General features: G+C 45.6%; 1 long non-coding RNA gene across 1 annotated transcript in view; it reads right to left on the bottom strand.

The window, feature by feature from the left end:
- Nucleotides 1–17,264, bottom strand: part of TESC-AS1 (TESC antisense RNA 1) — a 42,023-nt gene that overhangs the window by 2,982 nt on the left and 21,777 nt on the right. The window lies entirely within an intron of this gene.

Raw genomic sequence — 17,264 nt, 5'->3', positions numbered from 1 at the left:
GAAATGTTCATATTCAAGTTATTGAATTTGGGAGAAATTCATACTTTGAATGAAAGTTATGGTTTTCCTATTTCTAAACTATTATAATCTCTCAATCCTAGAATTCTTTAATAATCTACCAGTTTTTGTAGGACGATTTTCTTAGTTGTGTCTGTTACTGTGCAGAGGGCTCTGTGCCCAATATCTGTGCTGTCCTCCACCCCAAGGTTTCTCAACCTTTTTTCCAGTATTACCTGCTCCAGGAGCCTTTTTAGGCTATTTTTTTCCTAATCCACCCCCCGCCCCCCGAAATTGTTCTGACTTTTTTTTACAGAGATGACATTGATCTAATATGAAATTAACCATATCACTGGTATTTACTTCATGTACAATGTTGTCAGCCTCCACCTCTAGTTCCAAAAACATTTTCATCACCCTAAAATAAAACCCCCATGCCCATTAGGCAGTCACTCCCCATTCTTCCCTCCCCCAGCCCGTGGCACCCACCAGTCTGCTTTCTGTCTCTGGATTTGCCTGTTCTGTGCATTTCATGTACATGGAATCACACACGAGGTGGCCTTCTGTGCCTGGTTTCTTTCACTCAGCATCACGCTTTCAAGGTTCATCCTCTTTGTAGCATGTATTGGCACTTCATTCCTTTTAATGGCTAAATATGTATGGATACACCACATTGTTTTGTTTTTGTTCTTTTTATTTATTTAGTTATTTATTTTGGAGACAGAGCCTTGCTCTGTCGCCCAGACTGGAGTGCAGTGGTGCGATCTCGGCTCACTGCAACCACCGCCTCCTGGGCTCAGGCGATTCTTCTGCCTCAGCCTCCCCAGTAGCGGGGACTACAGTCACGCACCACCACGCTGGCTAATTTTTTGAATTTTTAGTAGAGACTGGGTTTCACTATGTTGCCCAGGGTGATCTAGAACTCCTGAGCTCAGGTGATCTGCCCGCCTTGGCCTCCCAAAGTGCTGGGATTACAGGTGTGAGCCACCACACCCGGTCTATTTTATTTTTTTTTTTTGAAATAAAAATTGTGGCCCAGGCTGGAGTGCAGTGGCACATGACTGCAGCCTCTGCCTCACTGCAACTTCCACCTCCCGGGCTCAGGTGATCTCCCACGTCAGCCTCCCGAGTAGCTGGGACCACTGGTGTGCACCACCATGCCCAGCTAATTTTGTTTTGGTTTTTTATTTGTTTGTTTGTTTGCTTGTTTTGTAGAGATGGGGTTTCTTTATGTTGCCCGGGCTGATCTGGAACTCCTGGGCCCAAGCAATCTGCCTGCCTCAGCCCACATTTTGTTTATCTATTAAGTTACTGATGGACATTAGAGCTATTTCCACTTTTTAACTATTGTGAATAGTGCTGCTGTGAGCCCTCCATGAAATGATTTTTTTAAATTTTTAATTTAATTTTATTATTTTTTTCAGATGGATTCTTGCTCTGTCGCCCAGGCTGGAGTGCCATGGCACAATCTTGGCTCACTGCAGCCTCCGTTTTCTGGGTTCATTTGATTCTCTTACCTCAGACTCCTGAGTAGCTGGGATTACAGGTGTGCACCACCATGCCTAACTAATTTTTCTTTTCCTTTTTTTTTTTTTTTTTTTGAGATGGAGTCTTGCTCTGTTGCCCAGGCTGGAGTGCAGTGGCACGATCTTGGCTCATTGCAACCTCCGCCTCCTGGGTTCAAGCGATTCTCCTGTCTCAGCTTCCTGAGTAGCTAGGATTACAGGCACACACCACTACACCTGGCTAATTTTTGTATTTGTAGTAGAGACAGGGTTTCGCCATGTTGGCCAGGCTGGTCTCGAACTCCTGACCTCGGGTGATCCACCCAACTCAGCCTCCCAAAGTGTGCTAGGTTACAGGCATGAGCCACTGCGCCTGGCCTAATTTTTCTACTTTTAGTAAAGACGGGGTTTCGCTATGTTGGCCAGGCTGGTCTCGAACTCCTGATCTCAAGTGATCTGCCCACCTCGGCCTCCCAAAGTGCTGGGATTACAGGCTTGAGCTACTGTGCACAGCTCCATGAAATGTTAATGCCAAAGATAAACTACAACTGCTTATGTACTATATATGTGTATATATATATATATATATATATATATATATATATATATATATATATATATGCTTTATACATTAAAAGCATAAATACACATACTTTTTTTCACTCCCCCTTGGGGGCGATATTACCCCTTTGAAAACGCAAGCTCCACCTGAGCAGTAGTATTGGGAACAGCTGCTCTCTGTTCTTGCTCACTGGTTGACCATTGGTATCTTATCTTTCAGTGCCTTTTAATGTACCCACCTTTCTTGGTGCCAGGAGCTGTAGTAAATGCAGAAGTACATTTCTGTCACTTATAAGGGCTAAAATGTATGTTCCAAAGACTTTTTTTGATATGTAATCTTTGCTTATTATATTGACTTGACCCACCCCAGATCTCCTAAAATCTGTTACTAAAAATAAGGTCAGGTATGGTTGCTCACGCCTGTAATCTCAGCAGTTTGGGAGGCGGAAGCGGGCAGATCGCCTGAGGTCAGGAGTTCGAGACCAGCCTGGCCAACATGGTGAAACCCCGTCTCTAGTAAAAATACAAAAAATTAGCCAGGCATGGTGGCAGGCGCCTGTAATCCCAGCTACTGGGGAGGGTGAGGCAAGGAGAATCGCTTGAACCCAGGAGGCAGAGGTTGCAGTGAGTCAAGATCGTGCCATTGCACTCCAGCCTGGGAGACAAAGCGAGACTCCATCTCAAAAAAAAAAAAAAAAAAAGAAAATGCATTACAAGACATCCTAGGTAATGACTACTTTTTTTGTTTGTTTGTTTTGAGACAGAGTCTTGCCCTGTCACCCAGGCTGGAGTGTAGTGACATGATCTCGGCTCACTGCAACCTCCGCCTCCTGGGTTCAAGCGATATTCCTGCTCAGCCTCCTGAGTAGCTGGGATTACAGGCGTGTGCCACCATGCCAGGCTAATTTTTGTATTTTTAGTAGAGATGGGGTTTCACCACGTTGGCCAGGCTGGTCTTGAAGTCCTCACCTCATGTGATCCACCTGCCTCAGCCTTCCAAAGTGCTGGGATTATAGGCATAAGCCACCGCACCTGGCAGTAATGACTACTTTTGTATGGAACTATTTACTCGATAGTTGCCACAAAATTAGAGAACTGGGCCAGGCATGGTGACTCACACCTGTAACTCCAATGCTGTGGGAGGCCGAAGCGAGTGGTTCTCTTGAGGCCAAGAGTTTGAGACTAGACTGGGCAATATAGTGAGACCCCCATCTCTACAAAAAATATTTTAAAATTAGGCGGTGTGGTGGCAGCCACCTGTAATCCCAGCTATTCAGGAGCAGAGGCAGGAGGGAGGATCGCTCGAGCCCAGGAGTTTGAGGCACGGTGAGCCATGATCACACCACTGCACTCCAGCCTAGGTGGCAGAGCGAGACAAAAAAAAGATTAGAGAATTTGAAAGCCCTTTAACCATCAACTGCTAGAGCATCCATTCCTGATATGTTACATGTACAAGTAAGAAGGCCCAGAGAGGTTAAGTGACTTGATTGGCCAATGTCTGAGAACTGGGTCCCAGCCTGGGCCTTTGGCTTTGACCACAGGGGTGTTTCTGTTGCCCCAGATTGCTTTCTGTGTAGGGTTCTCTTGTCCTACAGAAAATGTCTTGCTAACAATATCATCCTTTAATGATTCAAAGCCTGTTCTTTTATTATTTATTTTATTTTATTTTTATTTTTATTTATTTTTTTTGAGACAGGGTCTTGCTCTGTCACCCCAGCAGGAATGCAGTGGCACCATCAAGCCTCACTGAAGCCTCAAACTCCTGGGTTGAAGTGATCCTCCTGCCTCATCCTCCTGAGGAGCTGGGACCACAGGCATGTGCCACCATGCCCAGCTACTTTTTAAATTTTTTTTTTTTTTGTAAACATGGGGTTTCGCCGTGTTTCCCAGGCTGGTCTCAAACTCCTGGGCTCAAGTGATTCACCAGCCTCAGCCTCCCAAAGTGCTAGGATTACAGACGTGAGACACCATGCCCTGCCAAGCTTTGTTATTTCTTTCTCACTAACTGTACATGGCAGCCTCCTGGCCAGTTACAGCACTGTCTCTTGTCAATCACATTTACTTTGTAGAAGGAAAGCGAGGAAATGTTATCCTTCACCATCTCAGTAACGTGTGCTCTTGAAGTTTGGGGGAAACCTATTCTAAGCCTACAAAGACTTCTGAAGGAAGTTGCTTCTGAAAATACGATTTCCTCTGAAGCCGGGGTTGGCACACTTTTTCTGTAAAGGGCCAGACAGTGCGTATTTTGGGCTTTGCGGGCCATATGGTTTCTGTTGCAGTGACTCAGCTCTGCCATTGTAGCGGGAAAGCAGCCACAGGCAATACGAGCGAGTTCCTTAAACCTTTATGTCCAGAGCCAGGCCGTGGATTGGGTTAGGCTCACAGGCTGTAGTGTCCTCACCCCTACTGTAAAGTTCATTTAAACAGTGCTCTTTTAATAGACGTCTAAGCAACATCAAAACATTGAAAAAAAATAGTGTAGTGGAAACCAAGATACCCACCAAGACTCAGCAGTTGTTCTGTTTTATCTCCCTCTTAGTGTATGTGTGCTTTTTCCCTGAACCATTCAAAAATGTCTCAAGCAGCTTGAAACTTCTTCCTACATATTTCAGCATGCATCTCCTAAGAACAGGGGCACTTCCCTACCTAAGCACAGTATCAATCATACCTAAGAAAATAGTGATGCAAAAAGTGCATCCTAAATAAGACGAAATTGGATGTTGAGGATCAACCAGTTTTATCATAGAACCTTACAGCACTTCAATTTTCTGAATACCACCGTGTTCATAGCTGAAATCAATAGGGTAGAAGCTGTCAAAGAAAAAGGCAGGTAAGGCCGGGCACAGTGGCTCATGCCTGTAATCCCAGCACTTTGGGAGACCGAGGCAGGTGGATCACCTGAGGTCAGGAGTTCGAGACCAGCCTGACCAACATGGTGAAACCCCACCTGCACTAAAAATACAAAATTAGCCAGGTGTGGTGCCGCATGCCTGTAATCCCCAGCTACTTGGGAGGTTGAGGCAGGAGAATCACTTGAACCCGGGAGGCAGAGGTTGCAGTGAACCGAGATCGTACCATTGCACTCCAGCCTGGGCAACGAGCAAAACTCTGTCTCAAAAAAAAAAAAAAAAGAAAGAAAGAAAAGAAAAAAAAGGAAAAGACAGCTAAAAATCACTCAACGCTAAATCCATTTGCCCAAGGCAAACCCTGCAACTGCCTGACAAAATATCTGCTGTTGCAGGTAAGCTGGGGTTCCAAAATGTTCTCTTGCTACAGATATAAAATTTGGTAGAAACAAATTTTTTTTTTTAATTTGAGATAGGGTCTTGTTCTCTTGCCCAGGTTGGAGTGTGGTGGTGCAATCTTGGCTCATTGCAGCCTTGACTTCTCTGGCTCAGGTGATTCTCCCATCTCAGCCTCCCAAGTAGCTGAGACTACTGGCACGCACCACCATGCCCGGCTAATTTTTTGTATTTTTAGTAGAGATGGGGTTTCGCCATGTTGCCCAGGCTAGTCTCAAACTCCTGGGCTCAAGTAGTCCTCCTGCCTTGGCTTCCCAAAGTGCTGGGATTACAGGCATGAGCCCCTGCGCCCAGCTGGAAACAATGTCTTTAAATCCTTTGCTTTAACAGGGAGGGGCATCATCCTTTTTAATCAAAGTTCAGTGGGAGCCCGCGGAATCAGCGTTTCGTCCCTGTCTTCCTTAGGTCAGTACTGGCTCCTTTATCCTCTACCCTCACAGAGTTGGGCAGACTAGGGGGATGGCAGAGTTCACTTATAAAGGCCCATACACAATCTTGCGGTTTCCTTACTTTATTTTTCTTTAAGAGACAGAGTTGGCCAGGCGCAGTGGCTCATGCCTGTAATCCCAGCACTCTGGGAGGCCGAGGGCGGGCAGATCACGAGGTCAGGAGATCGAGACCATCCTGGCTAACACGGTGAAACCCCGTCTCTACTAAAAAATACAAAAAAAAAAAAAAATTAGCTGGGCATGGTGGCCGGCGCCTGTAGTCCCAGCTACTTGGGAGGCTGAGGCAGGAGAATGGTGTGAACCCAGGAGGCAGAGCTTGCAGTGAGCCGAGATCGCGCCACTTGACTCCAGCCTGGGAGACAGAGTGAGACTCCATCTCAAAAAAAAAAAAAAAAGAGACAGAGAGAGTCTTACTCTGTTGCCCAGGCTGGAGTACAGTGGCATGATCATAGCTCATTACAACCTTGAACTCCTGGGCTCAAGTGATCCTTCCACCTCAGCCTGCCAAGTACCTGGGACTACAGGTGCCTGCCACCTCGCTTAGCTAATTTTTATTTATTTATTGTAGAGACAAGATCTCTCTATGTTGCCCAGGCTGGTCTCAAATTCCTGGGCTCAAGCAATCTTCTCACCTTGGCCTCCCACAATGCTGGGATTACAGGTGTGAGCCAGCATGCTGGGGCTTACTTTTTAAATTAATGGTATCTAAGACCTTGACTCAACAAACTGCAATGGCTAAGATAAATGATTTGGGCTGAGGTGTAAGAATAGCCCATCGGTTGGGCGCGGTGGCTCACGCCTGTAATCCCAGCACTTTGGGAAGTCGAGGCGGGCGGATCACCTGAGGTCAGGAGTTCAAGACCAGCTTGGCCAACATGGTGAAACCCCATCTCTACTTAAAAAATACAAAAATTAGCCGGGCGTGGCATCTTGCGCCTGTAATCCCAGCTACCCAGGAGGCTGAGGCAGGAGAATTGCTGGAACCTGGGAGGCAGAGGCTGCAGTGAGCTGAGATCGCGCCACTGCACTCCAGCCTGAGCGACAGAGTGAGACTCTGTCTCAAAAAAAAAAAAAAAAGCCCCTCTAAGTTCGCTCTGGGGGCTGTGATTTATTTCTATATGGGACAGGATTGTACTCAGCAACATCATCTGCAAAGAACATAACAGTCTCTCTTCTGCGCCTGCCTCATGGTGTGAATGAGCCAGTGCTGTACGAATGCATTGAAATGTCCATGCTCTCACCCCTAAGCCTCCTTTAAGCTTCTGCCCCTCTCAGCCCACTGAGGATGTGTAGCCATTGGTATGAGTGCCAACAGCTATTTCTTATAAGGAGCAAGCCAAGGCCAGGTGCGGTGGCTCATGCCTTTAATCCACCCACTTTGAGTGGATCTTTTTGAGCTCAGGAGTTTTAAGACCAGCCTAGGCAACATGGCAAAACCCCCTCTCTACAAAAAAATACAAAAAGTAGCTGGGTGTGGTGGCCCGCACCTTGTGGTCCCAGCTACTCGGGAGGCTGAGGCTGGATAATCGCTTGAACCCAGGAAGTGGAGGTTGCAGTGAGCCGAGATCGTGCCACTGCCCTCCAGCCTGAGTGACAGAGTGAGACTGTCTCGAAAAAAAAAAAAAAGAGAAAAGAAAGCCAGCCAGCTATGTCTCTTGTCATGCCCTGTTGAATGCTGTTGAACACCATCCTCCCACTTCTGGACTCAAGGAGCTTTGTTTTTTCTGAGCGCTGGATAACAGAAACAGAGACATCACACTCCTCCAAGAGCCTCCAGATTATAGAGACTTTAAGGCATCCGTCTTGAGAGATCAGAGTCTTATAAGGGCTGGAGATACTGTGTGCTGGGGCTTACCTGAGACTGTTCCTGAAACCTTCAGCTTAGCTCATTCACATTTGACTCCAGTTGGGCCAGTGCTCTCTCGGCTTGTGTGGCTGGCTCAGCTTGGGGCCACAGGTCTCTACAATGGTGTGTCTGCCCTGCCTTCAGGACCCATATCCCAAAATGTGGAAAACACCATCGGCAGCTTCAGAACCAAATGTAACTCTCCTCTCAAGTGTGAAATAATCCCATTCAGGTGGTGAGTGACTTGGAATCGAGGTGGCCAAGGTGTCATGGAGTAGCCATTTAGACCATAGCAGCTTGGGGGAACAAGGAGCTCATCCAACCCCATTTGCTTGGGTCTGTCATTCCAATGAGGCTTCTGCTGTAGGGAAAGCCTTGCTGTTCTTTCCCACAGACCTCAGAGGCATGTCAGTTACCACCTCCCAAGGTCAGCATTCATACCCTGCTCCTGCCTGAGCTGGAGCCGCTGACATAATCAGCAGGCAAACCCTTCTGGAATGTTAGATGAAGTCACCTTTACCTTCCTGTGACAGGACACCCTTTGCCAAAAAGCACAAAACATTCCACTCTGTGTAAAGCTCATGCTGTTCTGACCCCTTCTTCTGTGCCAGCCGCATATACCTGGAATTCTCCACTTTACAACTGAGGAAACCAGGGCCCAGAGAAGTTGAGTAACTTGCCCAAGGCAGCACAGCTTAACATGGTGAAACCCCATCTCTACTAAAAATACAAAAATTAGCCAGGCGTGGTGGTGTGTACCTGTAATCCCAGCTACTCAGGAGGCTAAGGCAGGAGAATTGCTTGGACCCAGGAGGCAGAGGTTGCAGTGAGCTGAGATTGCACCCCTGCACTCAAGCCTGGGCAACAGAGTGAGACTCCGTCTCAAAAACAAAACAAAAGACAGCACAGCTACTGAATAACAAGGCCCAGATCACAACCCAGCTCAGCCTGACTCCAAAACCCAAGCTGCTTTTTACAACTCCCCTGGTTGAGTTTGCTTTAATCCTCATCTCCCTGGAAACAGCTAGAAGAAGGCAGTCCTCCCCTGTAGAGATGTCTATGGTTTTCAGTGATCTTGCTTATGACAGAGTTGCAGCAGGTAGAGTTTGGTTGAGTTGTGAAACTCAGAGGGGTAAGCTCAGGGCAAACTTTGTGCCATTGTGTCAGCATGGTTTATTCGTGTGAATACTATCATTTTGCCTTTGAAGGAATTAGAAGCTGACAGGCAAAAATCTTCAGAGGATCGCCTGTTGAATTCTTGGTTTCTCAAGATGGTGACTCATATATATACGTGTGTTTGTATTTATCAACAGCTAACATAGATGTGTGACACATAACATTTATATGTAACATATATCATGTATATATTATACACATGTATATGTATATGTATATACACGTGTAACAATAGAACGTATATGTTGTGTAACATACATGTTATGTACATGTAATGTGTAAAATATAGCATTATGTTATGCATAGCATGTATCTATAACATTATACATACATAAAATGTGCATGTAACATCACACATTACATATATAGTCACATTAAACATGTTACATGCCATGCATATGTCACATGTGTATGTCACATATTACATAAATGTGCATATAGCATTTATATTACGTATATGTCACATGTTCTACACACATTACATATTGCATGTCATACATGTATTATGTTCTGCATATACATTGCACATGTTCTGTGTAATATGTATATAACGCATGTATGTAACGTGTATATTGCAAATGTTCTGCATGTAACATCACATATATATGTTGTGCATGTACCATATAGCCTATGTTGTGCATATGACGTGTGTATGCATGATTCTGAAAGGCATAACATGCATATGACGTGCAGCATGTCATCTTGACACATTTCATGTCACTTCTGCAACATGACATGTTTGTGACATAGGTGCTCTGTGACATGTTTATGACATGCATGTTGTGCTTTGTGACCCACATGTGGCTTTCAACATGATGTGACATGCATGACATACACGACATGCCTGCAACATGTGACATGCAAAAATGCATGCAACATATGACACACTTGCAATATACTAGTGACGTCCATGTGCCATTTAATACTTATGACATGCTGACATGTGACATGTCAGTGACATGCTTAGTACAGGAGGCATTCTTGTGAATTGCACCAAGCTAATATGCTAACTACATGTAGCATTCTTGCAAAATGTGACAGGACAGAACAGGTGACAGATTAGACAGGTGACGTCAGAGTGATGGGTAACAACAGGTGATGAGTCACAGGTGACAGGTTGACAATGACAGGTGACATTGACATGTAACAGGTGACTGACAGGTGGCATGAGTCAGGTGACAGGTTGACAGTGACAGATGAGTGACATGACGTGACAGGTGACAATGACGTGACAGGTGACAATGACGTGACAGGTGACAGGTGACTAACTTGACAGGTGATGACATGGCATTGACAGGTGACAGTGACATGGCAGATGATGTGACAGCAGGTGATGTGACAGGTGATATGTGACAGGGAAATGTGACAGGTGATGTGACAGGTGACATGACAGTGAAATGTGACGTGACAGTGACATGTGATGTGACAGTGACATAAGTGACATGGCAGTGACAGGTGACAGGTGATGTGGCAGGTGTCACAGATGTGACAGGTGATGGGTGATATGTAACAGGTGATGGACAGTGGTGATGTGGCAGGTGATGTGACAGTGACATGTGATGTGACATGACAGTGACAGTGATGTGACTGGTGACAGTGACAGGTAACCATAATGTGAATGGTGACAGGTAACACATGACAGTGGTGGCAGTGACAGGTGACAGTGCATGACTGGTGACAGGTCCAGTGACAGGTGACAGTAACAGGTAACAGGTGACATGCTAAGATGTGTGCCACATGTCCATTACATGCCATAGTCATTCCTATTACATGTCACTGACAGAGAAATGACTTGTATGCCCATCACATGCTATGGTCATGCCTGTTACATGCCACTGACCTGCAAAGATATTGTATACCTATTACATGGTATTGTCATGCATGTTACACACCACTGACATGCCTATTGCATGGTAGTAACGTGAAGGCATAGCTATTGGGGTCCCTATAACATGTCTTTTATATGCCACTAACATACGAATGTATGGCTATTAGTGCCATGCTCATGCCATTTACATACCAGGGATATGCGAAGACATGCCTATTACATGCGATTGTCATGCATATTTATGTGCCACTGACGTGATGATATGCATATCACGTGCCAATGACAGGCTATCATTTATGTTACCGCTGCTGACAAAATATGTATGTCACATGCTTATCACACACTATGGCCATGCCTGTTTTATGTGCTCATACCCACTACATCCTAAAGACACGCCTGTTACATGCTACTGACATGCCAGGACATGGCAAGTACATACCCATTGCATCCTATGGTCATGCCTATTACATGCCACCGACATGGCTATTGCATTCTAGCTACATTTGAAGACGTGGCTGTTGTATGCTAGGGACATTTGAAGACATGTCTATTGTATGCTATGGTGATGCCTATTACATGTCAAGGATGTGACACCAATGTGCTAAGGCATGCTTCATAATGCCACAGGCATGCTTTTTACATGCCAGTTACATACCAAGGACATGTGAGAGCAAGCGTATTGCATGTTATGGTCACGCTTATTTACATGACACTAGCATGCACATTACATGCCACTCACGTTAAGGCATGCCTATCATGTGGCAATTACGTGCCACTGTCATGCATATTACATGGTAGCATTCTCATACGTGTGTTACATGCTTTTATATAGTATTGTCAGGCTTATTTTTACTATGATCATACCTATTACATGCTAAGGGCATGCTTGTTATGTGCTACTGACATGATAGGACCTGCCAATTACATGCCCATTGATTGCATCCTATGGTCATGCCTACACACCACTGACATGCTACATTTGTATTACGTGCTTGTAACATGGTCATGCCTGTTGCATGTTTATTATACACCAAGCACATGTGTGACATGCTAAGGATTTATGACGTGTGCATGCCAAGTACATGTGACATGAATGTGCCTATTTGAACATGCCTGTGACATGTGATGTGCAAAGGACATGCCTATTACATGCTGATATGCTTACTGCATGCTGAAAATATGGTAAGGAAATGCTAAGGACATGACAGGTGACAGTGACATGTGACAGTTACAGATGACAGTGATAGGAGACAGTGACAGATGACAGCAACATTACATGTGACAGTGACGTGACCATATGACAGGTCGTGACATTTAACAGGTGACTTGTGACAGTGACATATGACAGTGCAGGAGACAGGTACATGTGACAGTGACATTACATGTGACAGTGACTCAGGACAGTGCTGTGTGACAGTGACGAGTCACATGTGACATTTGACAGGTGACATGACTAACGTGACAGTGACATTACATGTGATAGGTGACAGTGCCATTTGACAGGTGACATCCTAAAACATGTTAAGGACATGCTTACTGCATGCCAAGGGCAGAACGTTGCAAGAACATACACAGTACATGCTAAGGGCATGTACATCACGTGCTAAGGACATACCCCTTACATAATAAGGATGTCTCTTACATGTCAGGAACATGTGGCATGCTTATGTGTTGAAGCCATGGCAAAAGCATGCTGATGGCCTGCTTTTTACATGTTAAAGATGTGCTTACTACATGGCCATGCCAATGACGTGACATACCAATGACATGATATGTTTGTTGCATGCCAAGGACATGCAAATGACCCGTGACGTTAGTGATGTGACAGGTGACAGGTGTCAGGACAGATGAGTGATGTGACATGATAGGCGACATGACAGTGACGTGACAACAGGTGATGGTTCAGGTAATAGGTGACATGCAACAGGTGGCAGTGACAGACAACAGGTGACAGTGACATGTGACATGACTGACAGGTGACGTGACAGGTGACAGTCGTGACAGTTTATAACAATGTCATATATCAATACCTAATATTTCCTCTGCAGCTGGGTCTTCCATTTCTTTCTCTTAATTACTCATTGAAATCGTTGAGCACCATTTACCATTTGTTAATCACTTTAATTCGCTCCCCAGCTTGGAGCTGGGGGTGGACATGTTGCTGCTGAACAGAAGGGCTGGTTCCGGGTCTTAGATGTGTAGGTTTGTAATGTGTGGAGTGGCAGCCCTGAAGTGAGCCATGTAGGAGGGGGCAGAAGTCCCCTGACAGTACTGTGTAACCAGTAATAGAGACAAACAGATGGCCCAGGGTGAGGGAGAGCAAGGGAACAACATTTTGTAGTTTAGTAGTGAGAGATGCTGCGAATTGTCACTGTCTAGGCAGTATATATTCGGCATGAGTCACCCTCAGTCTCGGCTGCACAGCAACCCCAGGCGAATAGCATCTCTAATCTTAAAAGCTCATTAAGCTCTGGCTGTTTGCACCCTGCCTGGAAAAGCCTCTGTTGAACAGGGAGCACCAAGAGAGCGAGGAAGGAGCCAGTGGCTGCACGAGATGGCCCAGGTATCCTGCCAGCAGGTCGCACACCTAGGCTCTTCCCCACCAAGGAAGAGCACCTGTTCCTATTTGGGAAAGAGAGAGAGGAGAGTGGTAATTTTCCATTTTCCTTTCTTGAGTGAGTCATACGAAAGCAAAATGTGTTCCCAGCTTGTGTTACTACTTCTGTCATTGCTGGGCTGCACAGATCAAAGGCTGGGGGAGATGTGTCTCCCCTCCCAACCCCTTGATCTATTCTTTTCAAGATTCACTTCCCTCTCCCTGCTTCAGAAGCCTCGTATCTGTCTGGAGCCCACTGGTTTGCCTGGAGATGGTCTGCTGTCCTTTCATTTTAAATTAAAATGCCCCTGCCTCTTGGTGGCCCAGTGAGGTGTGGGGGTTCAGGATGGGATATGAGGTGTTTGGCCATGCCTTACTGCCTTGGTGGAATGTGCCAGCAATCCACAAGAACACAGCAGGCTGGGAGAGGGGCCATGGCTTCAGAAATACTGCCTTGGGGCTATTGTTTGTAGACCAAACCTGGACTCTCCTCCTGCTGCCCATGGATCAGGACCAGCTATGCCCACGTAGGCCTAGAACCATCCAGGTTGCGAGCAACTTGCCATTTCTACATTGGTGGCTGTTTCTAACACCGGAGGAGGTTGACTCACTGAGTAGACTGGCAGGGTCTTAGGAAGGAAATCAGTTATTTGGCCTCACACTCTGGCAAATGCCCTAAGGGAGTCCGTTGAGTTCCTGAATGCAGATAAAACTCTTTCTCGTTCATCAAAATGAGCCCTGGGGCTCACCCCTTCTCTCACCCTTCAAGGTTCATCCATCACCTTGTCCTGCTCTAGGGACCACACTGGACCTCTGTGCCTCCCCACTGCCACCACCCTGGTCCAAGCCACCACTGTCTCTTGCCTTGGCAAGTTCACCTGCCTCCTACCTGGTTTTTCTAAAATCTGTATCTCTTGGAATGACTCCCTTGCTTGATGGCTTCCTGTTGCCCTTAGAACAAAGTCCAAACTTTTAAGCACAGTGTATTACCCTCCTGCACACAGACTCTGCCTCTGCCACAAGTTAGAGGCTCCCTGACTTCCCTACACCCTCCTGCCTCTGGGCCATTGCACAGGCTGTTTCCTTTGCCTGGAACTCACTCTACCTACATTCATATTTTTTGAGCTCCTACCAAGTGCATAGCAGTATGCTAGGTGCATGGAACATATAAAAGACACCCAGGCTATGTAGCCATGTTGGGCATGTAACGGTAATGGAGTCATATTGTATTAGTCCGTTTCATGCTGCTAATAAAGACATACCTGAGACCGGGTAACTTGGAAAGAGGTTTAATAGACTCACAGTTCCATATGGCTAGGGAGGCCTCACAATCATGGTGGAAGATGAAGGAAGAGCAAAGGGACGTCTTACATGGCAGCAGGAAAGAGAGCTTGTGCAGGGGAACTCCCATTTATAAAACCATCAGATCTCATGAGACTTATTCACTATCACGAGAGCAGTGTGGGGGAACTGCCTTCATGATTCAATTATCTCCACCCAGCCCTGCACTCGACACAAGGATTATTGCAATTCAAGGTGAGATTTTGGTGGGGACACAGCCAAACCATATCACATATTTACCACACACAGTGAGCCCAGCACGTGCCAGGCACTTCACATATATATCTCTCATCCTCCCAGCAGCCCCGCAGGGTAAGTGCTACTATGTTATTCTCACGTTAGAGATAGGGGAATCAAGGCCCAAAGAAAGGCAGCTCAGATAACGGAGAATGATGGTGGGAACACACTACCTCTCTGCGTTTAGCACAGTGCTTCTCAAAGTCTCTTCCTAGACCAACTGCAATCACCTGAGAACTCGTCAGGAATGCAGATTTCTGAACCCAGCCCCACTGAATCAGAAGCTCCGGTGCTGGAGCTCAGTGACATGTATTTTAATAAGTCCTCCAAGGGCTTCTGAGAGACACACTCAAGTCTGGGAACCACTCAGTCATGAGGTATTTTATATACAAATGGTTTGATTTGTCAGCATGGGGTACTGGTGGCCTTAATGGCTTTCCATTTTTAAAAAAAAATTTAAAAAAACCAACTACAGTGCTGATGAGATTATAGTGAGATTGTAAACCCTAATTATAGTGAGATTTCAAGGCCCCTTTCCCCTCCACGTAGGGTGGTATTCTCAAAGCCCGGATTCCCTGGATCTGATGACAGGGACACTATGTTGCCCAGGGTGGCCTCCTGGGCTCAGATGATCCTCCTGCCTCAGTTTCAGGAGTAGCCGGGACTACAGGTGAGCACCACCACATTCAGCTCTCAAAGCCTTTTGTGAAAGATTATTCAGGGGATACTTTATAGTTTTTTAAAAATATGTATTTATTTATTTTTTATTTTATTTTTGAGATGGAGTCTCACTCTGTCGTCCAGGCTGGAATGCAGTGGCGTGATCTTGGCTCACTGCAAGCTCCGCCTCCTGGGTTCACACCATTCTCCTGCCTCAGCCTCCCGAGTAGCTGGGACTACAGGTGCCCGCCACCACACCTGGCTAATTTTTTGTATTTTTAGTAGAGACGGGGTTTCACCGTGTTAGCCAGGATGGTCTCGATCTCCTGACCTCGTGATCCGCCCGCCTTGGCCTCCCAAAGTGCTGGGATTCCAGGCATGAGCCACCGTGCCCAGCCTTTTAAAGGGTTTTTTAAAGCCACTTCAATAAATTCCCTTAAATACTTTAAGTATACTAATGAATTTAATATATTTGATTTCTTCTTAAGCACTTTTCAGAACCTTCCTAAGTACTTCATTATGAATTTTTATACATCTAATAAATTGAACTTTAAATATGCAAATTTTAAGTTCTCTTAAAGAGTAGTGTTCTGTTTACAAACTTAATATTAAGTTCTCATATAACTTCCAGCTTAAAATCTGGCTGACACAACAATGTGAATATACTTACTACCACCGAACTGCACACTTGAAAATGGTTAAGATGGTCAGTTTTATGTTATGTATATTTTACCACAATTTACAAAAATATCTGGCCATAACTGATTACTCAATTCATTTGAAATTGGAATCACAAGGCCTTTCTGTTAGACGATGCCAAATTCTCTTAAACATTTCAAACCCTTAAAATAGAAAAGTATACCAATATACGTAGATTACTTTTCAATATAATACAGGACCAAAAAAAAAAAAAAAAGGAAGCTATGACTTTGCATTACTTCATCCTTTCTGTACTTAATGCTAAACCTTCTGGGGTTAAAGATTCTGACTAAGGAATACACTGTGCCATCCTGAGAAACTTGGCGGTGCCCACCAAGTACACAACGCTGCAAATTGCTACTTGGCCAGGAAGGAAGAATGGATTTTTTTCAAGGACCTCAGCTGAGCCCTAATTATAGTCACTGTGCTGATGGCAGATATCAAGGCCCTTTCTCCCTCCATGTGGGGCAGTACTCTCAAAGTCCAGATTCCCTGGGTCTGATGACAGAAATCCTAATTCTTCCCTATTGTGAATCTCAGGCCTCCCTTTTCCTCTTAGCCTTACCAGTGAATGTGCCATCTGCCTTTACTGCTTCCTTCTCTCCTGACTTCTTCCCCCACCACCTCCGCAAAGGACATGACCCATAGATACATTGTTCCATAGCACCCGCAGATCCTGCAGCCCCCGGCTTCCTGTTACTCTTACTCTTGTAGCATTTCAGAGAAGGAAAAGGCTGCTGAGTTGAGGACAGTGGGAGATTTCCAAAAAGGAGAACTTAAAAACTGGCCTTTGTAGGATGCACCAACAGGAGAGGGGGGAAAAGTGAGGTGAAGGGAATTCATTCTAGTCTGATGAATAAATTACTAGCCCAGGCATACTGTTTGCTTTCCCCTGCCTTCCCCCCCACTTTTTGAGATGGAGTCTTGGTCTGTCCCCCAGGCTGGAGTGCAGTGGCGCGATCTTGGCTCACTGCAAACTCCGCCTCCCGGGTTCAAGCCATTCTCCTGTCTCAGCCTTTCGAGTAGCTGGGATTACAAGTGCCCACCACCATGCCTGGCAAGTTTTT

Source organism: Homo sapiens, chromosome 12 (genome assembly GCF_000001405.40).
Source record: "Homo sapiens chromosome 12, GRCh38.p14 Primary Assembly".
NCBI classification, from domain to species: Eukaryota; Metazoa; Chordata; class Mammalia; order Primates; family Hominidae; genus Homo; species Homo sapiens.
Note: the sequence above shows the minus strand (reverse complement) of the source record. Positions and strands in the feature narration are given on the sequence as shown.